The following is an 18,886-nucleotide window of genomic DNA, read 5'->3' as shown; positions in this document are numbered from 1 at the left end:
ATGCTGGAAGATGTATAGAATTTTACTTCTGTTATTCTGGTAACTCAGAGTCCTGTTCAGTCAGTTTCCACGTCAGGTTGCTGTCCTGGTTTTAAAGAGAATGAACGCAGCCGAAGTTGAATCGAGGCAGTGATTTCACTCAGTGCGTTGGGTCTTTCCACTCACCTGGCCCTCCAGAACCCCAGGGCCTTGAGTGCATGGGCTGGTACAAGAGCCCAGTTTTTGGCTGGGGAGGCACTTCCTATGGGAGGGGGACGCCTGTCTCAGTGCTGAGGCAACCACCACCGAGGACCCTGGGCTGGAAGCTGGGCTGAGATGTCTGGTGGTAGGTTCTGAGGCAGGACAGGGGACCGACTCAAATGGATGATACGAACGGCAGGCTGGATTCACGTTGCTCCTGCACCTCCAGCATCTGCTGAGGACACCTAGAACTGTGGCCCTGGCCAAACCTCAGCTCCCTATTCCATGAAAGTGTGGGTCAAAGTGTGGGTGGTAGAGTGGGGCTGACAGTGGCCCCTAAGCTCCTAGGGTCCAGCCCACAACTGAGGAAGCCACACGGCTGGTTGTGTACGAGCCGGAGTGTCTCTGTTTGGTTGAAAGTGCCGGTCTGTGGGTCCTTGCTGGTGTGTGTGCTTCTGTCCCCGCCTCCTGGCCTCCTGGCTGAGGGGAAGCTGAGTGGGCCACGGCCCATGTGTCGCACTCGCCTCGGCTCCCACACAGCCGCCTCTGCTCCAGCAAGGATGTGGCTCTTCCACACTCTGCTCTGCATAGCCAGTAAGTCCTCTCACCCGCTGCTTCGAGGGGCTGCTGTGCCCTCAGCTCCAGCCAGGTGTCTGCAGACTACAGCCTTGACTGTCTGTCTCTGATGGGGCTCAGTTAGAGCCAGAGGTTAGAGAGTGGCAGCTCCTCCAGGAAAGGAGTCTTGCTCGGTGGGTCAGGGCCCCAGGCTTGTTGGGAAGGGCGGCTGAGGCTTCGTGTTGCCAGTTCTGTCAGCCAGGGCCTTTGGACTCCAGGGCTCTGCCATTCTGTTCCTCCTCCAGCCAGCCTCCCCCCGCCACCGAGGCCCTCTCCCCATGGCACCCACTTGGGGCAGGTCCTTGACTCTGTAGTTTGTTCTCTGAGTGTGGAGGCTCCGCCTGGCAGAGCTCCCTTCTGTTACAGAGCAGGGGTTGGGCTGATGAGGGTGAGGACCCTGTGAGAGAGTGTTGACCAGAGACTGGGGGCAAGTGTCTGTATGGTAGAGGGTGTGAGTGTTGGCAGGGAGCCTGCTTCCTGTGTTGTCAGGCCCAGGGTAAAAACTGGAATGTGGGGTGGGGGGAGGCACTTCTGCTGCCTGGGGGGTCCCATTTTAGCCTTTAACTGTCCCATGGAAGCCTCTGGGCAAGCCAAGCCATGAGTCCTTTCGGGGGCCCCCTGTGATGAGACAGCACGGTCAGGTGAGCCCCTGGAGGCTGCTAAGATTAAGCCGGAGGCCAGGGTGGTCCTGCCTAGTGATCTGAGCAGACTTCCCATGGGTCTCCTGCCCCTGCTCAGGAGGTTGGCCGGAGAATTGGATGGGCATCAAGCTTATGTGGATGAAAGGCTCCTGGTAGCTGAGTTCTCCCTGAAAGATGGGCTGAGGCTGTGCTGGGAGGGGACTTGGGATTAGCATCCCACCTGGGGCCAGATCACCCAGGAAGCAGGCCACAATGTGTAGGGTACCAGCAAGGAACACGTTTTTGGACAGATTTTAATATTTTATATTTCATTTTATTTTATTTTATTTTTTGAGACAGAGTCTTGCTCTGCTGCCCAGGCTGGAGCCCAGGCTGGATCTTGGCTCACCATAACTTCTGCCTCCCAGGTTCAAGCAGTTCTCCTGCCTCAGCCTCCCGAGTAGCTGGGATTACAGGCGCCTGCCACCACGCCTGGCTAATTTTTGTATTTTTAGTAGAGACAGGGTCTCACCATATTGGTCAGGCTGGTCTCCTGCCCTCAGGTGATCGACCTGCCTCGGCCTCCCAAAGTGTTGGGACTACAGGCATGAGCCACCTTGCCCGGCCTAATATTTTATATTTCAAAAACATCAGAATAGTCACCATGGAAAGGTCAACAGTTTGTTGAACTTCCTTTTATTTTACAATTTAGACTTCTCTGTTTTTAGTTACATGTGGGGTGTGGAGAGAGTCTCACTCTTTTTATGGCTTGTGGCTTTGATCTCCCATTACCAAGAATATCTGGAGCAGATGCTTAGACTAGACTCTTGTCTACCCTCTCCCAGTACAGAGGAGGTGACTGGGGCACAGAGCGGGCAGTGACTACCCAGGCTTGCAAGCAACTGATAATAGACACGAGGCTCAAGCCCAGGCCTCTGTCCTGCCTCCCAGCTCCAGAATACTCCTGTGGCTCATCTGTCTCCTTTAGCCTCTGAGACCACCACCCATCACCTCAGTGCCTTTTCCAGCAGGTGGCATCGATCAAACCTCTTTTGAGGCCTAGGCCCTTCCCAAGCTGATGGGCAGCAGAGAGCGATGATGGAGCAGACTTGCCATGAGACCACTTAGCCCACAGCTCAGCTCAGCCACGGGAAGGGGACCAGAGCAGGGCCCCCGCAGCTCCGGTGTGGGTGGCGGAAACGAGGCTGCTGCAGTTCTGCTCCATGCTGTGAGGTCCTGAGACTAGGATGGGCCAGTCCAGGAGAGTTTCCTGGAGGAGGTGAGGTGGCGTTGAGTCTTGGGGGCTGAGGAGAGTCTGAGAAAGAAAATGTCCAGGAGATGCTGGGAGGAAGAACTCCCTCAGACTGTGGCTCCAGGCCCAGCACCCTGTACCCTGTGCCGGGTTGGGCCTCCTTAGGCTGGAGAGAATCCAGGACTGGCCTGGCCTGGCCCTGACCTTCCACTCTCTCCAGGCCAGCCACTCTGGTGATGCCTACTTCTTATTTGTGGCAGCAGACGGAATAATAGCAGTTGTCTAAGGGAGATTTTAGAAGCATTGGGTGCAGACAGACACTGAAACCCTGGAACTGTCCACACCCTGACCACCAGCCCCATCATGCCCTCTTACCCTGTGGCCTGCTGTCCCCAAGTCAGTCTTCACCCCTGACTCATTCTGCAGTCACATCAACTCACTTCTCCATCCTGGGTCTCAGAGGTTGAGTTTCCACCCTTGCGTGAAGAAGCCTGTCCTGTCAGCCTACAACACCTTACAGGGGTGAAGAAGAAGGAACCAGAAGTCCAGGGCCCGCTCTGCTGGTGGCACGCACTCGGGCTGAGGCCAGGGGCTGTGCCGGGGCATCACCCCGGGCCTGTGCGTGATAGAAAACCTCAGTCCTTGGGGAGTGGGAGACTGTAGCATCTGAGGTGGGCTCTGAAGGACGGGGAGGTCCTTGGCAAGTACAGGCTGGGGGTGAGCAGAGGGGCCTTCTGTGCAGGGGGGATAGGAGGGACCAAGCCCTGGGGTGTGAAGAGTCTGGTTTGTAGGAAGATGGAGGCGAAGTGTGAGTGGGAGCAGGAGATTGTCTCCTCTGGTGTTGCTTTCCCTTCCAGCCCCGCCCCAAATCGGGACATGCTGGGCCCTGGAGGTGCGGGCAGAGGCGAGGCCACCCCTATCCCAGCCCCTGTGTGAAGAGAAGGCAGGTTGTGCACACAGTAGCCTCCCCGGCCCCGGCAGGGTGTCACAGCACGGGGGTAGGGAAGGGGCACTCCAGGCAGAGGGGCAGCCCAAGCAAAGGTGAAATGCCCCCGGAATGCAGTGTGTGGGGGAGAGCTGGCTGGGGGAGTGTGGGCCGTGTGGGAGCCCCACATCCCTGCCCTTCTCTGGGAGGCCTGCATTCGTGTGGCAGGTGTGGTATAAGTGGAGGAATGCGGGCATCCAGTCCCGAGAGGCCCACGGTGGAGGTGGTGAGGAACGTGGGGACCTGAGTGCCGGCCTGGGGGAGCTTGGAGTTCCTGCTGAGGGCAGTGGGGAGCCACAGAAGGTCTTGACCAGGATGGCGACAGAATTGTATGTTGTGTGTTAGTTGGAATCTGGGGGAGAGGGGAGGCAGAGAGGCCCGTGAGGAGGCTGCTGCCTTGGCCCCATCTGCGGCTGTTGCGGAAGGCAGACGTGGGGAGGAGGACACACTCATGAGAAACGTTTAGTTTCCTGGCCAGGCACGGTGGCTCACGCCTGAAATCCCAGCACTATGGGAGGCCAAGGCGGGCAGAGCACTTGTGATCAGGAGTTCAAGACCATCCTGGCCAACACGGTGAAACCCCGTCTCTACTAAAAATACAAAAATGAGCCAGGCATGGTGGTGCGCACCTGTAATTCCAGCTACTTGGGAGGCTGAGGCAGGAGAATTGCTTGAACCCAGGAGGCAGAGGTTGCAGTGAGCTGAGATCACACCACTGCACTCCAGCCTGGAAGACAGAGAGAGACACCGTCTCAAAAAAAAAAAAAAGGCCAGGCGCAGTGGCTCAAGCCTGTAATCCCAGCACTTTAGGAGGCCAAGGTGGGCAGATCATGAGGTCAGGAGATCGAGACCATCCTGGCTAACACAGTGAAACTCCGTCTCTACTAAAAACACAAAAAATTAGCTGGGCATGGTGGCGGGTGCCTGTAGTCCCAGCTACTCGGGAGGCTGAGGCAGGAGAATGGCGTGAACCCGGGAGGCGGAGCTTGCAGTGAGCCGAGATTGCGCCACTGCACTCCAGCCTGGGCGACAGAGCGAGACTCCGTCTCAAAAAAAAAAAAAAAAAAAAAAAAAATATATATATATATATATTTAGTTTCCAGCACACAGTAGTGCTCAAGGCCTGTTGGCCTTTCTTGTTATTAGGGAGATGAAGGGTGAGGGAGAGAGATGGGCTCAGCTGACTGTGAGGTTTGGGGTGGAGTTGATGAGGCTCCGTGTAGAAGATCGAGGTGGGGGGACTGCGGCTGGCTGCAGATGGCTCTGAGGCACAGTCCTCCCACGAGGCCCCGCTGGGTGTTCTGGGCGGGGTGTCGGGACCCCTGCATCTAGCCCCACTTCTTCAGCTCCTGGTATCAGTGTGGGCAAATCATGCCCCATGGGCCTCGGTTTCCTAAATTGGGAATCGTGGTACTTATTGTACTGTGAGAATGTGAGTTGAAATTGCCCGGTGTGCTGGGGGAGACAGAGGGTTGAGGGGAGACAGTGGTGGCTGACAGGATGGAGGGGGATCTCGGTCTGACTCAGCAGGCCTCCGTGGCTGGGGACAGCTCAGAGAGGTGGTCCTGTGGGTAGTGTGGTGACAGACACTGGTGTAGCTATGTCTGTAAGTCAGACAACACGGGAGGGGGGATTGGGAGGGAGGGCCAGCCCTCGCCTGTGGTTATAACTCTCTCCAACCTCAGCCTCCACGTGCTGAGCCTCCTGCGTCAGACCTGGGGCCGCGTATCGCCCCATTTGATCTGCACAGCCCCATGTCCCAGAGGGGAGACGGAAGCGAGGTGCCAAGCCCAGGGTCCTTCAGTGACTCCAAGGCAGTGAGGATTTGAACTCAAGACCATCTACCAAGACAATGCTGTTTTCTGAGTCCTGGTGGGAAATGCAACAGGAGGTGGTTTCCTGATGGAGGCGCAGCTCAAAGGCAAACTGTTGGGCCTGGGGCGAGTCCAGTCTGAGGAAACAAGCTGAGCCAGGCCTGGCAGACCTGGGCACCAGCTGGCTCTCAGGGAAAGCCCAGCAAATACAGCGAACTACCCCACCACACACACACACACACACACACGGATGCACACACACACACACACGGATGCACACACATGGATGCACACACAGGGATGCACACAGGGATGCACACACACGGATGCATACACAGGGATGCACAAACACGGATGCACACACACAGATGCACACACGGATGCACACGCACACACGCGCACATGGATGCACACACGGATGCACACACAGATGCACACACGGATGCACACACGCACACACAGGGATGCACACACGGATGCACACACACGGATGCACACACACGGATGCGCATACACAGATGCACACACACGGATGCACACGCACACGGATGCACATGGATGCACACACACAGATGCACACATGCACACACAGGGATGCACACGGATGCACACAAGCACACACGGATGCACACACATGCACACACGCACGTACACAGTCTCATGCCACCGTGCCTCTGCGGCAGGCTCTTGCTGACCTAGTTACCAGCCCTGTAAGCAGAGCCCTGCTCCAGCTCAGTGAGCCGCCGCACGGCAGGAGCAGTGCCCAGCTTCTTGAGGCCATTTGTGACCCTGGCCTCTCTCTGTTTACCAACCCCTCGGTGCCTCCAGCTATTACTAAAGGCTTTGAAATCGGGCATAAACACAGAATCTGAGCCCCAGACACAAATATTCAATCTTCCGACGGGCCATGCACAAACCACACCCCTCTCTGAGCCTCAGCACCTAGCGTGGTGCCTGGAAGGCAACAGGTGCTCTGGGGGAGCGGAACCCTCAGTTGAACAAGATCTCTGTTGAACAAAGTGAACACAGGGGTGGGGTGGCGTGAGGAAAGGGAATATCTGGCCCACTCTGACCTTTTTAGAGCACCTTTTTTGGGTGGGCCTGGCCCTGCGCTGAGCTGGGCTCTGTGGCTGGGGGTGTTGTGTGTGACTCAGATCACATCACAGTTCAGGGCAGACAAACTGAATCACAGATCACCCTGATCCAGACAGAATTTGGTCACAGCCAGACAGACCACAGGATGCTGAGGGGGCTCAGGGTTTGGTCAGAGCCAGACAGACCACAGGGTGCTGAGGGGGCTCAGGGACCCGGGAGTTACTCTGACTGAGTCTGGATTGGCTCCTGGCTCCTGGCTGGCTGAGCAGGGCCACAAAAGACGGGCTTTGCAGACAGAGGTGGAGAGTGCTGAGCAGGCCTGCTGGGTGGAGGGAGCCGCTGTGTCGAGGCCTGGAGGCAGGAGTGTGCAGAGGGTGCGCCGGGCAGAGCGGGGGGGTGCCACGGACGCCCAGGAGAGGAGACTGGACTTTGCTCTGCGGCCTCCACTCGTGCCTTTTCAGTTATACCGACAGTGAAACGGGGGGAAGAAGGCCCCCCACCCACCCCTCGTAACATGTTGGCAGCTCGCACTTTTTAATTCTCCTCTAGGCAGTTTGCTGACGTCCTGTTTTTTCCCCAGAGTGACTGACCAGGAGGCACAGGGCTCAACGTGACGTGGGCCCCGGGGCCGGAGCCCAGACTCCCTACTGGGCGTCCTTTATCTCAGTTCTGGATTCGTGGGGGAGCAGCGGGAACAGTACGGCCTTCTTCCCTGCCTAGGGGTCTTGATCTGGAACCTTTGAGAGTCTATGTAGGCTGTAAGTGGCCACTCTCCCAGCACCTACCGAGGGTGGGCCACCATGCCAGGCCCTGAGATAATGTGGCGATCGAGGCAGATGCAGTGTGTGCCCCCTTGGACTCACTGGTGGCAGGGGGCAGTCACTGGCAATAGGGAAACAAGGAAGGCCAAGCACAGTGGCTCACTCCTGTAATCCCAGCACTTAGGGAGGCCAAGACTGGAGGATCACTTGAGCCCAGGAATTTGAGTCCAGCCTGGACAACATAGCAAGACCCCCATCTCTACAAAAAATTTAAAAAAAAATTAGAGGCCAGGCACGGTGGCTCACGCCTGTAATTCCAGCACTTTAGGAGGCCGAGGCGGGCGGATCACAAGGTCAGGAGTTCAAGACCAGCCTGACCAACATGGCAAAACCCCGTCTCTACTAAAAATACAAAAATTAGTCCGGTGTGGTGGCAGGTGCCTGTAATCCCAGCTACTTGGGAGGCTTAGGCAGGAGAATCGCTTGAACCCAGGAGGCGGAGGTTGCAATGAGCCGAGATCGTGCCATTGCACTCCAGCCTGGGCGACAATAGCAAGACTCCATCTCAAAAAAAAAAAAAAAAAAAAAAGGATGAAGAGGAAGCCAGGAGACAGGCTGAGGACAGAGCACTTCAATCAGGCAAGGGGAGGATTTTGTACACATGTGCACTCAGGGGATCAGGAAGGGCTCCAATGCTTCCATCAGATTCTCAAAGGGGGCCAGGTGCAGTGGCTCACACCTGTAATCCCAGCACTTTGGGAGGCCAAGGTGGTGGATCACGAGGCCAGGAGTTCGAGACCATCCCGGCTAACACGGTGAAACCACATCTCTACTAAAAATACAAAAATTAGCCAGGAGTGCTGGCATGTGCCTGTAGTCCCAGCTACTCCAGAGACCCAGTATTTTGAGTCCTGGCCTACACTCGGTAGGTGCTGGGAGAGTGGCCACTTACAGCCTACATAGACTCTCAAAGGTTCCAGATCAAGACCCCTAGGCAGGGAAGAAGGCTGTACTGTTCCTGCTGCTCCCCCACGAATCCAGAGCTGAGATAAGGGATGCCCAGTAGGGAGTCTGGGCTCCGGCCCCAGGGCCCACGTGAGACAGGAGAATCACTTGAACTGAGGAGGTGGGGGTTGCGGTGAGCCAAGATCACACCATTGCAGTCCAGCCTGGGTGACAGAGTGAGACTCCAACTCAAAATGAAGAAAAAAAGGCCGGGCATGATGGCTCACACCTGTAATCCCAGCACTTTGGAGGCTGAGGCAGGTGGATCAGGACGTCAGGAGATGGAGACCAGCCTGGCCAATATGGCGAAACCCCATCTCTACTAAAAATACAAAAAATTAGCTGGGCATGGTGATGGGCACCTGTTTTCCCAGCTACTCAGGAGGCTGAGGCAGGAGAATCGCTTGAACCCGGGAGGCGGAGGTTGCAGTGAGACGAAAGTTGTGCCACTGCATTCCAGCCTGGGCGACAGAGTGAGACTCTGTCTAAAAAAAAAAGAAAAAAGAAAAAGATTCTCAAAGGGATCCATTACCCCCAAACAAGAACGTCTGGTCTGGTTATGTTTCCTGTGTTTTCTACTTTGGGGCATTGGCAGGGAGGACACAAATCACAGGTCTGCAAAAGCTGGGGTGCAGGGTTTCTTCATTGTGTTCTCACAAAGGACCCTTAGGGACAGTTTTTTCTCTGATTTGAATAACCAGACTGGTTGTGCTTTGCCTGGAAGTGTTTTGTTTTTTGAATTTTGTGGACACCGCATGGCATTAACTGATCTTTTTCATGTTGATATCACCTTCAAGAAAGCTTCATTCATTCATGTATGCGTTGAATCAACAAATGATTTTATTAAGCCAAAGGATTTTAGGAACACTTCTGTGAGCCAGCGCTGTGTTCAGAGCCAACAGTGGGGCACGTGATAGAAAGTGCTGGCACTGCGTGATCTACATGTTAGCTGTTGGCCTCCTTCCTGGCTTGTTGTATCCCCCTCTTTTTTTAAACCATCATTTTCCTTCTGTTCTTTTTTGCCTGCCCCATTATTTTAAGCGAGTTTTATCTTACCTGTATTATGTATTTTTATGAATCACCACAAATCATTCCAGGCGAGGCAGAGATGTGAAGAAAAAGGAATAAAATATAGATATCAGGCCGGGCGCGGTGGCTCACGCGTGTAATCCCAGCACTTTGGGAGGCCAAGGCGGGCGGATCACCTGAGGAGTTCAATACCAGCCTGGGCAATATGGTGAAACCCCACCTCTACTAAAAATACAAAAATTATCCAGGTGTGGTGGTGCGTGCCTATAATCCCAGCTACTCAGGAGGCCGAGGCAGGAGAATCGCTTGAACCCGGGAGGCAGAGGCTGCAGTGAGCCGAGATCGCGCCACTGCCCTCCAGCCTGGGCAACAGGGCCAGACTCCATCTCAAAAAATAAATACATAAATAAAATAAAATTAAATATAGATATCTACTTTGTGCCAGACTCAGGGAAATGGCCTTAAATGCAGGGATGAGAGATCCAGAGCCTGGCCTCAGAGCCATCTCCCCAGGTTCCTCCTCCTCCTCAAGTCTGGAAGGTTGATTTTTGGATAATAAAATTTTAAGCATGTACACAGGTAAACGAGATAACTATAACAAAGCCAATATGTCCATCAAGCGGATGACACAATGATCAAGATCCTGCCACACAAGCTGAATGTATTTTGTGTTCCCCTTTTCATTTTTGTTGTCAAGGTATTTAAAGCCTGGCTGCTCAAAATGTGACCTGAGGACCAGCAGTGAGAGCATCGTCTGGGAGCTTGTTGGAACAGACTCCCAGCCCCATTCTGATTCATTATCTGCTGAGTCAGAATCTGCATTTTAACAAGATCTCCGATGACTCATTTGCACGCTAATGTTTCAGAAACAGTATTTTAAACCCCAAACATCGTGTCATTTCACTCCCAAAAAACATGGACATTTTCATTTCTAAAGAACATGAAGGGCCGGGCGTGGTGGCTCACACCTGTAATCCCAGCACTTTGGGAGGCTGAGGCTGGTGGATCACCTGAGGTCAGGAGTTTGAAATCAGCCTGGCCAACATGGCGAAACCCCATCTCTACTAAAAGTACAAAAATTAGCCAGGCATGTTGGCACACCCCTGTAATCCCAGCTACTCAGGAGGCTGAGGCAGGAGAATCACTTGAATCCGGGAGACAGAGGTTGTAGTGAGCTGAGATCGCACCACTGCACTCCAGCCTGGGCAACAGAGTACGACTCAGTCTCAATAATAAAGAACGTGGACATTTTCTTAAATAGCCACAATGTTCTTACCACCTAACTAAATTAATTCTTTGGTATCATCTAATACCAAATACTTAGTCCATATACAAATCTCTCTGTCTCAAAATGTCTTTTTTTTTTTTTTTTTTGAGACAGAGTCTCGCTCTGTCGCCCAGGCTGGAGTGCAGTGGCGCGATCTCTGCTCACTGCAAGCTCTGCCTCCTGGGTTCACGCCATTCTCCTGCCTCAGCCTCCCAAGTAGCTGGGACTAGAGGCGCCCACCACCACGCCTGGCTAATTTTTTTGTAGTTTTAGTAGAGAAGGGGTTTCACCGTGTTAGCCAGGACGGTCTCGATCTCCTGACCTCGTGATCTGCCTGCCTTGGCCTCCCAAAGTGCTGGGATTACAGGCGTGAGCCACCATGCCCGGCCTCCAAATGTCTTTTTAACAGTTGGTTTGTTCAAAGCAAGATCCAAACAAGGTCCGCACATGACATGCGGTTGCTGTGGCTCTCCGTCTGGAGTGCACCCCCATCCCCATTTTCTGCTTTCATGCCTTTGATTTATGGCAGAGTTTGGTCACGTGTGTTGCAGAATATCTATGTTCAGGATTTGTGTGTTTGCTTCCTCTTGGTGTGATTTGTCTTTTTATTCCCCAAACTGCCTGAAAACTGGAAGTTTAACGTCAGGTTTCAGTTCTGTGGCGAGCACACTCTAAGCAGTTGTGAGGATTTTGCCCCACTTCCTGCAGTTATTTCACCTCTTTTTCTTTTGTGTGTGTGTGTGTGTGTGTTTGTTTGAGACGGAGTCTTGCTCTATCACCAGGCTGGAGTGCAGTGGTGCGATCTCGGCTCACTGCAACCTCCGCCTCCCAGGTTCAAGCGAGTCTCCTGCCTCAGCCTCCCAAGCAGCTAGGACTACAGGCATGCGCCACTACGCCCAGCTAATTTTTGTATTTTTAGTAGAGATAGGGTTTCACTGTGTTGGCTGGGCTGGTCTTGAACTCCTGACCTCAGGTGATCCACCCATGTCGGCCTCCCAAAATGCTGGGATTACAGGCCTGAGCCACTGTGCCTGGCCCTTCTTTTTCTTTTCTTTGCTGAAGTGTTTTAAAGCCTTGGTACTCAGAATGTGGTCTGAAGACCTGCAGTGTGGGTGTCCCTTAGAATCTTGTTGGAAATGTAGTCTTGGGCCCTTAGATCCTTCCTAGAGTGTCACACCAAGAAGGACATGCCTGAGAGGCCCACTCCTAGGGATGCTAAGATTGACTAGTGGGCTCAGGTGGTGTCAGCCTAATTGTAAAGTTAGTCTATCAGACTCTCATTTAGAAGCTTTACCTGTTGATGATCCTGGCCTGAATTAATTATTGTATTTCATTAGGGCTCACAAAATAGTTTGGTTCTATTATTCTTCCTACATTTATTAGTAATAATTTATCCATAAAAAAGACGTTTTTCATGCCATTTTTATAAGGGCCAGATGAACAAATGAAAAATAAATTTAAGGCTGGGTGAGGTGGCTCACGCCTGAAATCCCAGCATTTGAGAGGCCAAGTGGGGGCAGATTACTTGAGATCAGGAGTTCAAGACCAGCCTGGCCAACAGAGTGAAACTCCATCTCTACAAAAAATACAAAATTGATCTGGGTGTGGTGGCACATGCCTGCAATCCCAGCTACAGGGGAGGTTGAGGCAGGAGAATCGCTTGAACCTGGGAGGCAGAGGTTGCAGTGAGCCGAGATTGCACCACTGCACTCCAGCCTGGGTGACAGAGCGAGACTCCATCTCAAAAAACAAAAAACAAAAAAAAAGAAGGAAAGAGAGAGAGGGAAGGGAGGGAGGGAGGGAGGGGGGAGGAAGGAAGGAAGGAAGGAAAACTTAAAAGACAAGAAGTACTTTTTCTCATTAACCAGGATGATTTGATGGCCCTGAAATGCACTTCATGTAGGAAAGGCAAGAAAAATGCTTAATACTTTTCCTAACAGTCAGTTTTCAGAGTAAAGAGATGGTGCCCTTTTTACTTCCATTGGTAGCAAATTTTCTTTTTCGTTTCTTTTTTTTGGAGACAGTCTTGCTTTGTCACTCAGGCTGGAGTGCTGTGGTGTGATCAAGGCTCACTGCAGCCTCAACTTCCTGGGCTCAAGTGATTCTCCCACCTCAGCCTCCCAAGTAGCTAGGACCACAGGCAGGCTCCACTGTGTGCAGCTAATTTTTTAATTTTTTTGTAGAAACGGAGTCTCACTGTATTGCCCAGGTTGGTCTTGAGCTCCCGAGTGTAAGTGATCCTCCCACCTCAGCCTCCCAAAGTGCTGGGATTACAGGCGTGAGTCACCTTGATTTCTTTTGTTTTTATTTTTCTCTCTCTTGTAAATATCATGAACTTATGAAAGTTTTATATATTCAGTGTGTTTCACATACTTGTAATTCTTATTCTAAAAAATATTTTAATTATAATTATTATTTTTAAATAATTATTTTAATAATTATTATTTTTAAATAATTATTTTAATAATTATTATTTTTAAATAATTATTTTAATAATTATTATTTTTAAATAATTATTTTAATAATTATTATTTTTAAATAATTATTTTAATAATTATTATTTTTAATGTAGACTTTTTAAAAGTACAACATACAGAAAAATGGACAAATTTAGATCAGTAAATGTTCATATTAAGTCACACCCGTATCAAGAAACAGAACAGGCTGGGCACAGTGGCTCACACCTGTAATCTCAGCACTTTGGGAGCCCAAGGTGGGAGGATCACCTGAACCTAGGAGTTCAAGACCAGCTTGAACAACACAGTGAAACCTCGCCTCTACCAAAAAAAAAAAAAAAAAAAAAAATTAGTCAGGTCTGGTGGCACAGGCCTATAGTCCCAGCTACTCGAAAGGCTGAGGCAGGAAAACCACTTGAGCCCAGGAAGTTGAGGCTGCAGTGAACTGTGATCACACCACTGCACTCCAGGCTGGGCAAAAGAGTGACAGCCAGTCTCAAAAAGCAAAAAAGAAAGAAAACATACTGTGTACAACCTTGGGGGCTAAAAAAATTTTTTTTGAACTTCATTAAACTTAAGAACATCTGTTTATCAAAAAAAAAAAAAAGTAAGTGAGTGAAAAGGCAAACCACAGAATAAGAAAATAATTGCAACACAAATTGATAAAAGATTAACTTCAGAATATGTAAAGAATTTCTACAAATCAATAAGAAAAAGGCATGTCCACAAACAGAAAAAGGACATTTCACAAAAGAGATTATCAAAATAGTCAGGAATCTTGTAAGGAGACTTCAGACGTCAGAGAAAGGCAAATTAAAACCAGGTGTGGTGGCTCACACCTGTAATCCCAGCACTTTGGGAGGCCAAGACGGGTGGATCACCTGAGGTCAGGAGTTCGAGAGCAGCCTGGCCAACATGGCGAAAAGCCCATCTCTACTAAAAATACAAAAATTACCCGGGCGTGGTGGCGGGCATCTGTAATTCCAGGTACTCAGGAGGCTGAGGCAGGAGAATCACTTGAACTCGAGAGGTGGAGATTGCAGTGAGCTGAGATTGTGCCATGGCACTCCAGCCTGGGCGACGGAGCAAAACTCCCTCTCAAAAAAAAAAAAAAAGAGAAAACCATTTGTCAGTATCCACTAAAGCTGAACATATGCTTAACAGGATCCAGAAGTTCCACGGTTAGACATATGCCCAACAGGAATGTGTTCATATGGTCATGAAGACGTCTGCAAGACACTCATAGCAGGCCAGACACAGTGGCTCACACCTGGAAACCCAGGGCTTTGGTATGCCAGGGCGGGAGGATTGCTTAAGGCCGGTGTATGAAATCAGCCTGGGCAACATAGCTAGACCCCACCGCTTTAATTCTTCATCAGATTAAAGAAATTCACAGCCGGGCATGGTGGCTCATGCCTGTAATCCCAGCACTTTGGGAGGCTGAGGTGGGCGGATCACCTGAGGTCAGGAGTTCAAGACCAGCCTGGCCAACATGGGGAAACCCTGTCTCTAATAAAAATACAAAACTTAGGCGGGTGTGGTGGCACATGCCTGTAATCCCAGCTACTTGGGAGGCTGAGGCAGGAGAATCGCTTGAACCAGGGAGGCGGAGGTTGTAGTGAGCCGAGATCACACCACTGCACTCCAGCCTGGGCGACAGAGTGAGACTCCATCTCAAAAAAAAAAGGAAAAAAAAATTCCCTCTGATTCCTGGTTTGCTAGGACTTTTTATCAGAAATTAGTCTTGGATTTTATCAGATGCCATTTTCTGCATCTATCATAATCATATGATTTTTAATCCTTTATTTCCTGTTGTAAGGAGTAAACTGATTATTTTAAATGTCAAACCACTCTTCCATTTCCGAAATGAACTCTGCTTGTTTTGATGTATCATGCTTTTTTTTTTTTTTTTTTTTTGAGATGGAGTCTCGCTCTGTCACCAGGCTGGAGTGCAGTGGCGCAATCTTGGCTGACTGCAACCTCCGCCTCCCGGGTTCAAGTGATCCTCCTGCCTCAGCCTCCCGAGTAGCTGGGACTACAGGTGTGCGCCACCACGCCCAGCTAATTTTTGCATTTTTAGTAGAGATGGAGTTTCACCATGTTGGCCAGGATAGTCTCAATCTCTTGACCTCGTGATCCGCTGGCCTTGGCCTCCCAAAGTGCTGGGATTACAGGCATGAGCCACTGCACCCGGCCGTATTATGCTTTTTATAATTCCCTGGATTTGATTTACTGGAATTTTGTGCAGCATTTTTGTATTTATGTTCGAGAGAGACGGTTGTTTCAATTTTCCTTTCATTTATTGTGCTTGCTGGATTTTAATATCAATGTTATACTGGCTTCATAAAATGACTGAAAAATGTTTTCTCATTTTCTATTCTCTAAAACAGTTTATATAAACTTGGCATTATTTCTCTTTAAATGTTTGGAAAAATTCGTCAGTGAAGCTATCTGGGCGTAGAGATCTCCCTAAGATTTTTAGTCATGAGTAAAATATCTTACTCAGGTGATACATTTCTTTTTTTGTTAGTTTTGGTGCATTTCTATTTCAAGGAATTTGTTCATTTCACCCAGATTGTCAAGTTTACTGGCATAAGGTTGGATATAACATCCTCTTACTTTTTTTTTTTTTTTTTTTTGAGATGGAGTCTCTCTCTGTCACCCAGGCTGGAGTGCAGTGGCGCGATCTCGGCTCACTGCAAGCTCCGCCTCCCGGGTTCACGCCATTCTCCTGCCTCAGCCTCCCGAGTAGCTGGGACTACAGGCGCCCGCCACCACGCCCGGCTAATTTTTTGTATTTTCAGTAGAGACGGGGTTTCACCGTGTTAGCCAGGACGGTCTCGATCTCCTGGCCTCGTGATCCGCCCGCCTCGGCCTCCCAAAGTTCTGGGATTACAGGAGTCAGCCACCTCGCCTGGCCCCTCTATTTTTTAAATGTCTTAGGATCTATTATGATGTCCCCCCTTTCTATTTTTTATTCATGTTGGTAATTTGTGTGTTCTCTTTTTTTTTTCTTGTTCAGTATTGCTAGTGATTTATCATTTTAAAAATCTTTAAAAAAAACTTCAGCATCATTAGTTTTCTCTACTGTAAGTTGGTTTGCTGTTTCATTGATACGTGTTCATATCTTTATTCCTTCCCGTACTTCCTTTAGGTCTGATTTGCTATTCCACTGTAATTTTATCTTTCACCCTGGGTTATTTAGAAATGCATTGCTTAATTTTCACGAGGTTCAGATTTTTCTAGTTTTCCTTCCTTCCTTCCTTCCTTCCTTCCTTCCTTCCTTCCTTCCTTCCTTCCTTCCTTCCTCCTTCCTTCCTTCCTTCCTTTCTTTCTTCTTTCCCAAGTCTCACTCTGTGCCTAGGCTGGAGTGCAATGGCACGATCTCGGCTCACTGCAACCTCCACCTCCCTGGTTCAAGTGATTCTCCTGTCTCAGCCTCCCAAGTGGTTGGGATTACAGGTGGCTGTCAGCATGCCTGCCTGATTTTTGTGTTTTTAGTAGAGATGGGGCTTCACCATGTTGGCCAGGGTGGTTTTGAACTCCTGACCTCAAGTGATCCGCCTGCCTCGGCCTCCCAAAGTGCTGGGGTTGCAGGCATGAGCCACCATGTCCGGCCATCTTTTCTTCCCTTTCTTTCTTTTTTCTTTTTTTTACATGGGGTCTTGTTCTGTCACCCAGGCTGGAGTGCAGTGATACAATCTTGGCTCACTGCAACCTCCACCTCCTGGGCTCAAGCAGTCCTCCCACCTCAGCCTCCTGAGTAGCTGGGACCATAGGTGCATGCCACCATTCCTGGCTAATTTTTTGTATTTTTGGTAGAGATGGAGTTTGGTATTTTTGTTAGATACCAGCCATGTTGCCCAGGCTGGTCTTGAACTCCTGAGCTTAAGCAATCTGCCTGCCTCAGTCTTCCACAGGGCTAGGATGACAGGCACGAGCCACTGTGCTGGACCTCTAGTTTTCTTTTTGTTATTGGTTTAGATTCTAGTATAGTCAGAGAACATATTCTGAGTTATTTCAATTCATTGATATTTATTGAGGCTTTAGCTTTGTGATCTAGCATATGGTCAATTTTGGTAAATGTTTCACGTGTACTTGAAAATAATGTTTCTGAGGGTGCGGTGGCTCACGCCTGTAATCCCAGCACTTTAGGAGGCTGAGGTGGGTGGATCACGAGGTCAAGAGATTGAGACCATCCTGGCCAACATGGTGAAACCCCGTCTCTACTAAAAATACAAAAATTAGGCGGGCATGGTGGCGCGTGCCTGTAGTTCCAGCTACTCGGGAGGCTGAGGCAGAAGAATCGCTTGAACCTGGGAAGCGGAGGTTGCAGTCAGCCAAGATTGCACCACTGCACTCCAGCCTGGTGACAGAGCCAGACTCCGTCTCAAAAAAAAAAGAAAAATGTTTCTTTTTCCATTGTTGGGTACAGAGTTTTGTCTGTCAGGTCAACTTTGCTAATTATGTTGTTCATATCTTCTATATCCTTGCTCAATTTTTGGTCTGCTTTTATTTTTATTTTTTTATTTTATTTTATTTTTTTGAGATGGAGTCTTGCTCTGTTGCCCAGGCGGGAGTGCAGTGGCGCAATCTCGGCTCACTGCAAGCTCCGCCTCCCGGGTTCACGCCATTCTCCTGCCTCAACCTCCCGAGTAGCTGGGACTACAGGCGCCCGCCACCACGCCCGGCTAATTTTTTGTATTTTTAGTAGAGACGGGGTTTCACCGTGTTAGCCAGGATGGTCTTGATCTCCTGACCTCGTGATCCGCCCGCCTCGGCCTCCCAAAGTGCTGGGATTACAGGCGTGAGCCGCCGCGCCCCGCTGGTCTGCTTTTATAGTTGACGTAAAAGGCTTAATTAAAGTGTTAAAGTCTCCCACTTTCATTGTAGTGTTTTGTATTTTTCCTTTTAATTCAGTCAATTTTTGCTTTTATATTTTGAAATGATGTTATTGGATAAATACAGATTTAAAATTGTCACATCTTCCTAGTGAATCAAAAACAACATATTTGTGTGCATATATCTCCTTCCCTTCCTTATACAGAAGCTAGTGTCGTTTATACACTTGTCCTTCATGTAGTGATTTTAATTTCTTCCTGAAATCTACTGCTGAGTAAACAGCCATTAATTGGAAAAAATATTTGCATCAATTTCATTAAAAAAATTGTGATGCATTCCAGCCAACCAAAGATACTCAAATGACTTTTACTGTTAGGAAAATGTATTAATTGACCAATAAAACAAGTTTAGATAAATAAAAACAATACTTTGAATATAAAAATACAGTTTCCGTATAAAATGTATTGTCATGAAGGTTTATTGGCCTCATTAAAAGGAGAAGACAAGATTTGACAGTGGGGGCTAGGCGCGGTGGCTCACGCCTGTAATCCCAGCACTTTGGGAGGCTGAGGCGGGCGGATCTCTTGAGGTCAGGACGAGTATGAGACCAGCCTGGCCAACATGGTGAAACCTCGTCTCTACTAATAATACAAAACTTAGCTGGGCATGGTGGCGGGCGCCTGTAATCCCAGCTACTCCGGAGACTGAGGCAGGAGAATTGCTTGAACCCAAGAGCCAGAGGTTGCGGTGAGCCAAGATCGCGCCACCGCACTCCAGCTTGGGCGACAGAGTGAGACTCCATCTCAAAAAAATAAAAATAAAAAATAAAGTCATAGCAAAAGTTACAGAGAAACACCTTGAGGGCAAAATAAATACTGAACCCAAAAGCACTTCCAAACACATGGAAATAGGCTGTGCGCTCATCGACTTCAGAATCATAGAATCTTCAGCCATCTCAATCGACA

The 18,886-nt window shown here is 49.8% G+C and overlaps 1 protein-coding gene across 3 annotated transcripts in view, besides 11 other annotated features; it reads left to right on the top strand.

Annotated features, from left to right (window-relative positions):
• The first annotated feature begins 696 nt into the window (after positions 1-696).
• The window catches only part of ITGAE (integrin subunit alpha E), an 86,561-nt gene continuing 68,371 nt past the window's right edge, over positions 697-18,886 (top strand). For all 3 annotated transcript variants that reach the window (NM_001425071.1, NM_001425072.1, NM_002208.5), the window contains exon 1: positions 697-774. In NM_001425071.1, the coding sequence (NP_001412000.1) occupies positions 741-774 (34 nt within the window). In that variant the 5' untranslated portion in view covers positions 697-740. The remainder of the gene's footprint in view (positions 775-18,886) is intronic.
• Positions 2,921-2,970: an enhancer, noted in NCBI's record as "active region_11521". NCBI's record gives its function as "activates an Ori minimal core promoter by ATAC-STARR-seq in GM12878 lymphoblastoid cells {active_cell/tissue: GM12878}" and the evidence as "EXISTENCE:reporter gene assay evidence [ECO:0000049][PMID:35858748]".
• Positions 2,981-3,040: an enhancer, noted in NCBI's record as "active region_11520". NCBI's record gives its function as "activates an Ori minimal core promoter by ATAC-STARR-seq in GM12878 lymphoblastoid cells {active_cell/tissue: GM12878}" and the evidence as "EXISTENCE:reporter gene assay evidence [ECO:0000049][PMID:35858748]".
• Positions 3,221-4,119: an enhancer, noted in NCBI's record as "H3K27ac-H3K4me1 hESC enhancer chr17:3701060-3701958 (GRCh37/hg19 assembly coordinates)". NCBI's record gives its function as "activates a minimal SCP1, AML or CMV promoter by ChIP-STARR-seq in naive H9 embryonic stem cells {active_cell/tissue: H9 hESC(naive)}" and the evidence as "EXISTENCE:reporter gene assay evidence [ECO:0000049][PMID:30033119]".
• Positions 4,835-5,064: an enhancer, noted in NCBI's record as "active region_11519". NCBI's record gives its function as "activates an Ori minimal core promoter by ATAC-STARR-seq in GM12878 lymphoblastoid cells {active_cell/tissue: GM12878}" and the evidence as "EXISTENCE:reporter gene assay evidence [ECO:0000049][PMID:35858748]".
• Positions 4,835-6,978: a biological region, named in NCBI's record as "nonconserved acetylation island sequence 85 enhancer".
• Positions 5,006-6,393: an enhancer, noted in NCBI's record as "nonconserved acetylation island sequence 85". NCBI's record gives its function as "activates a minimal heat-shock promoter by reporter assays in Jurkat T cells {active_cell/tissue: Jurkat}" and the evidence as "EXISTENCE:reporter gene assay evidence [ECO:0000049][PMID:17135569]".
• Positions 5,535-6,256: an enhancer, noted in NCBI's record as "H3K4me1 hESC enhancer chr17:3698923-3699644 (GRCh37/hg19 assembly coordinates)". NCBI's record gives its function as "activates a minimal SCP1, AML or CMV promoter by ChIP-STARR-seq in naive H9 embryonic stem cells {active_cell/tissue: H9 hESC(naive)}" and the evidence as "EXISTENCE:reporter gene assay evidence [ECO:0000049][PMID:30033119]".
• Positions 6,257-6,978: an enhancer, noted in NCBI's record as "H3K4me1 hESC enhancer chr17:3698201-3698922 (GRCh37/hg19 assembly coordinates)". NCBI's record gives its function as "activates a minimal SCP1, AML or CMV promoter by ChIP-STARR-seq in naive H9 embryonic stem cells {active_cell/tissue: H9 hESC(naive)}" and the evidence as "EXISTENCE:reporter gene assay evidence [ECO:0000049][PMID:30033119]".
• Positions 6,447-6,496: an enhancer, noted in NCBI's record as "active region_11518". NCBI's record gives its function as "activates an Ori minimal core promoter by ATAC-STARR-seq in GM12878 lymphoblastoid cells {active_cell/tissue: GM12878}" and the evidence as "EXISTENCE:reporter gene assay evidence [ECO:0000049][PMID:35858748]".
• Positions 6,979-7,701: an enhancer, noted in NCBI's record as "H3K4me1 hESC enhancer chr17:3697478-3698200 (GRCh37/hg19 assembly coordinates)". NCBI's record gives its function as "activates a minimal SCP1, AML or CMV promoter by ChIP-STARR-seq in naive H9 embryonic stem cells {active_cell/tissue: H9 hESC(naive)}" and the evidence as "EXISTENCE:reporter gene assay evidence [ECO:0000049][PMID:30033119]".
• Positions 9,966-10,055: an enhancer, noted in NCBI's record as "active region_11517". NCBI's record gives its function as "activates an Ori minimal core promoter by ATAC-STARR-seq in GM12878 lymphoblastoid cells {active_cell/tissue: GM12878}" and the evidence as "EXISTENCE:reporter gene assay evidence [ECO:0000049][PMID:35858748]".

Source organism: Homo sapiens, chromosome 17 (assembly GCF_000001405.40).
Source record: "Homo sapiens chromosome 17, GRCh38.p14 Primary Assembly".
In the NCBI taxonomy this organism is placed as follows: Eukaryota; Metazoa; Chordata; class Mammalia; order Primates; family Hominidae; genus Homo; species Homo sapiens.
This window is presented reverse-complemented; position numbering and strand designations above follow the sequence as displayed.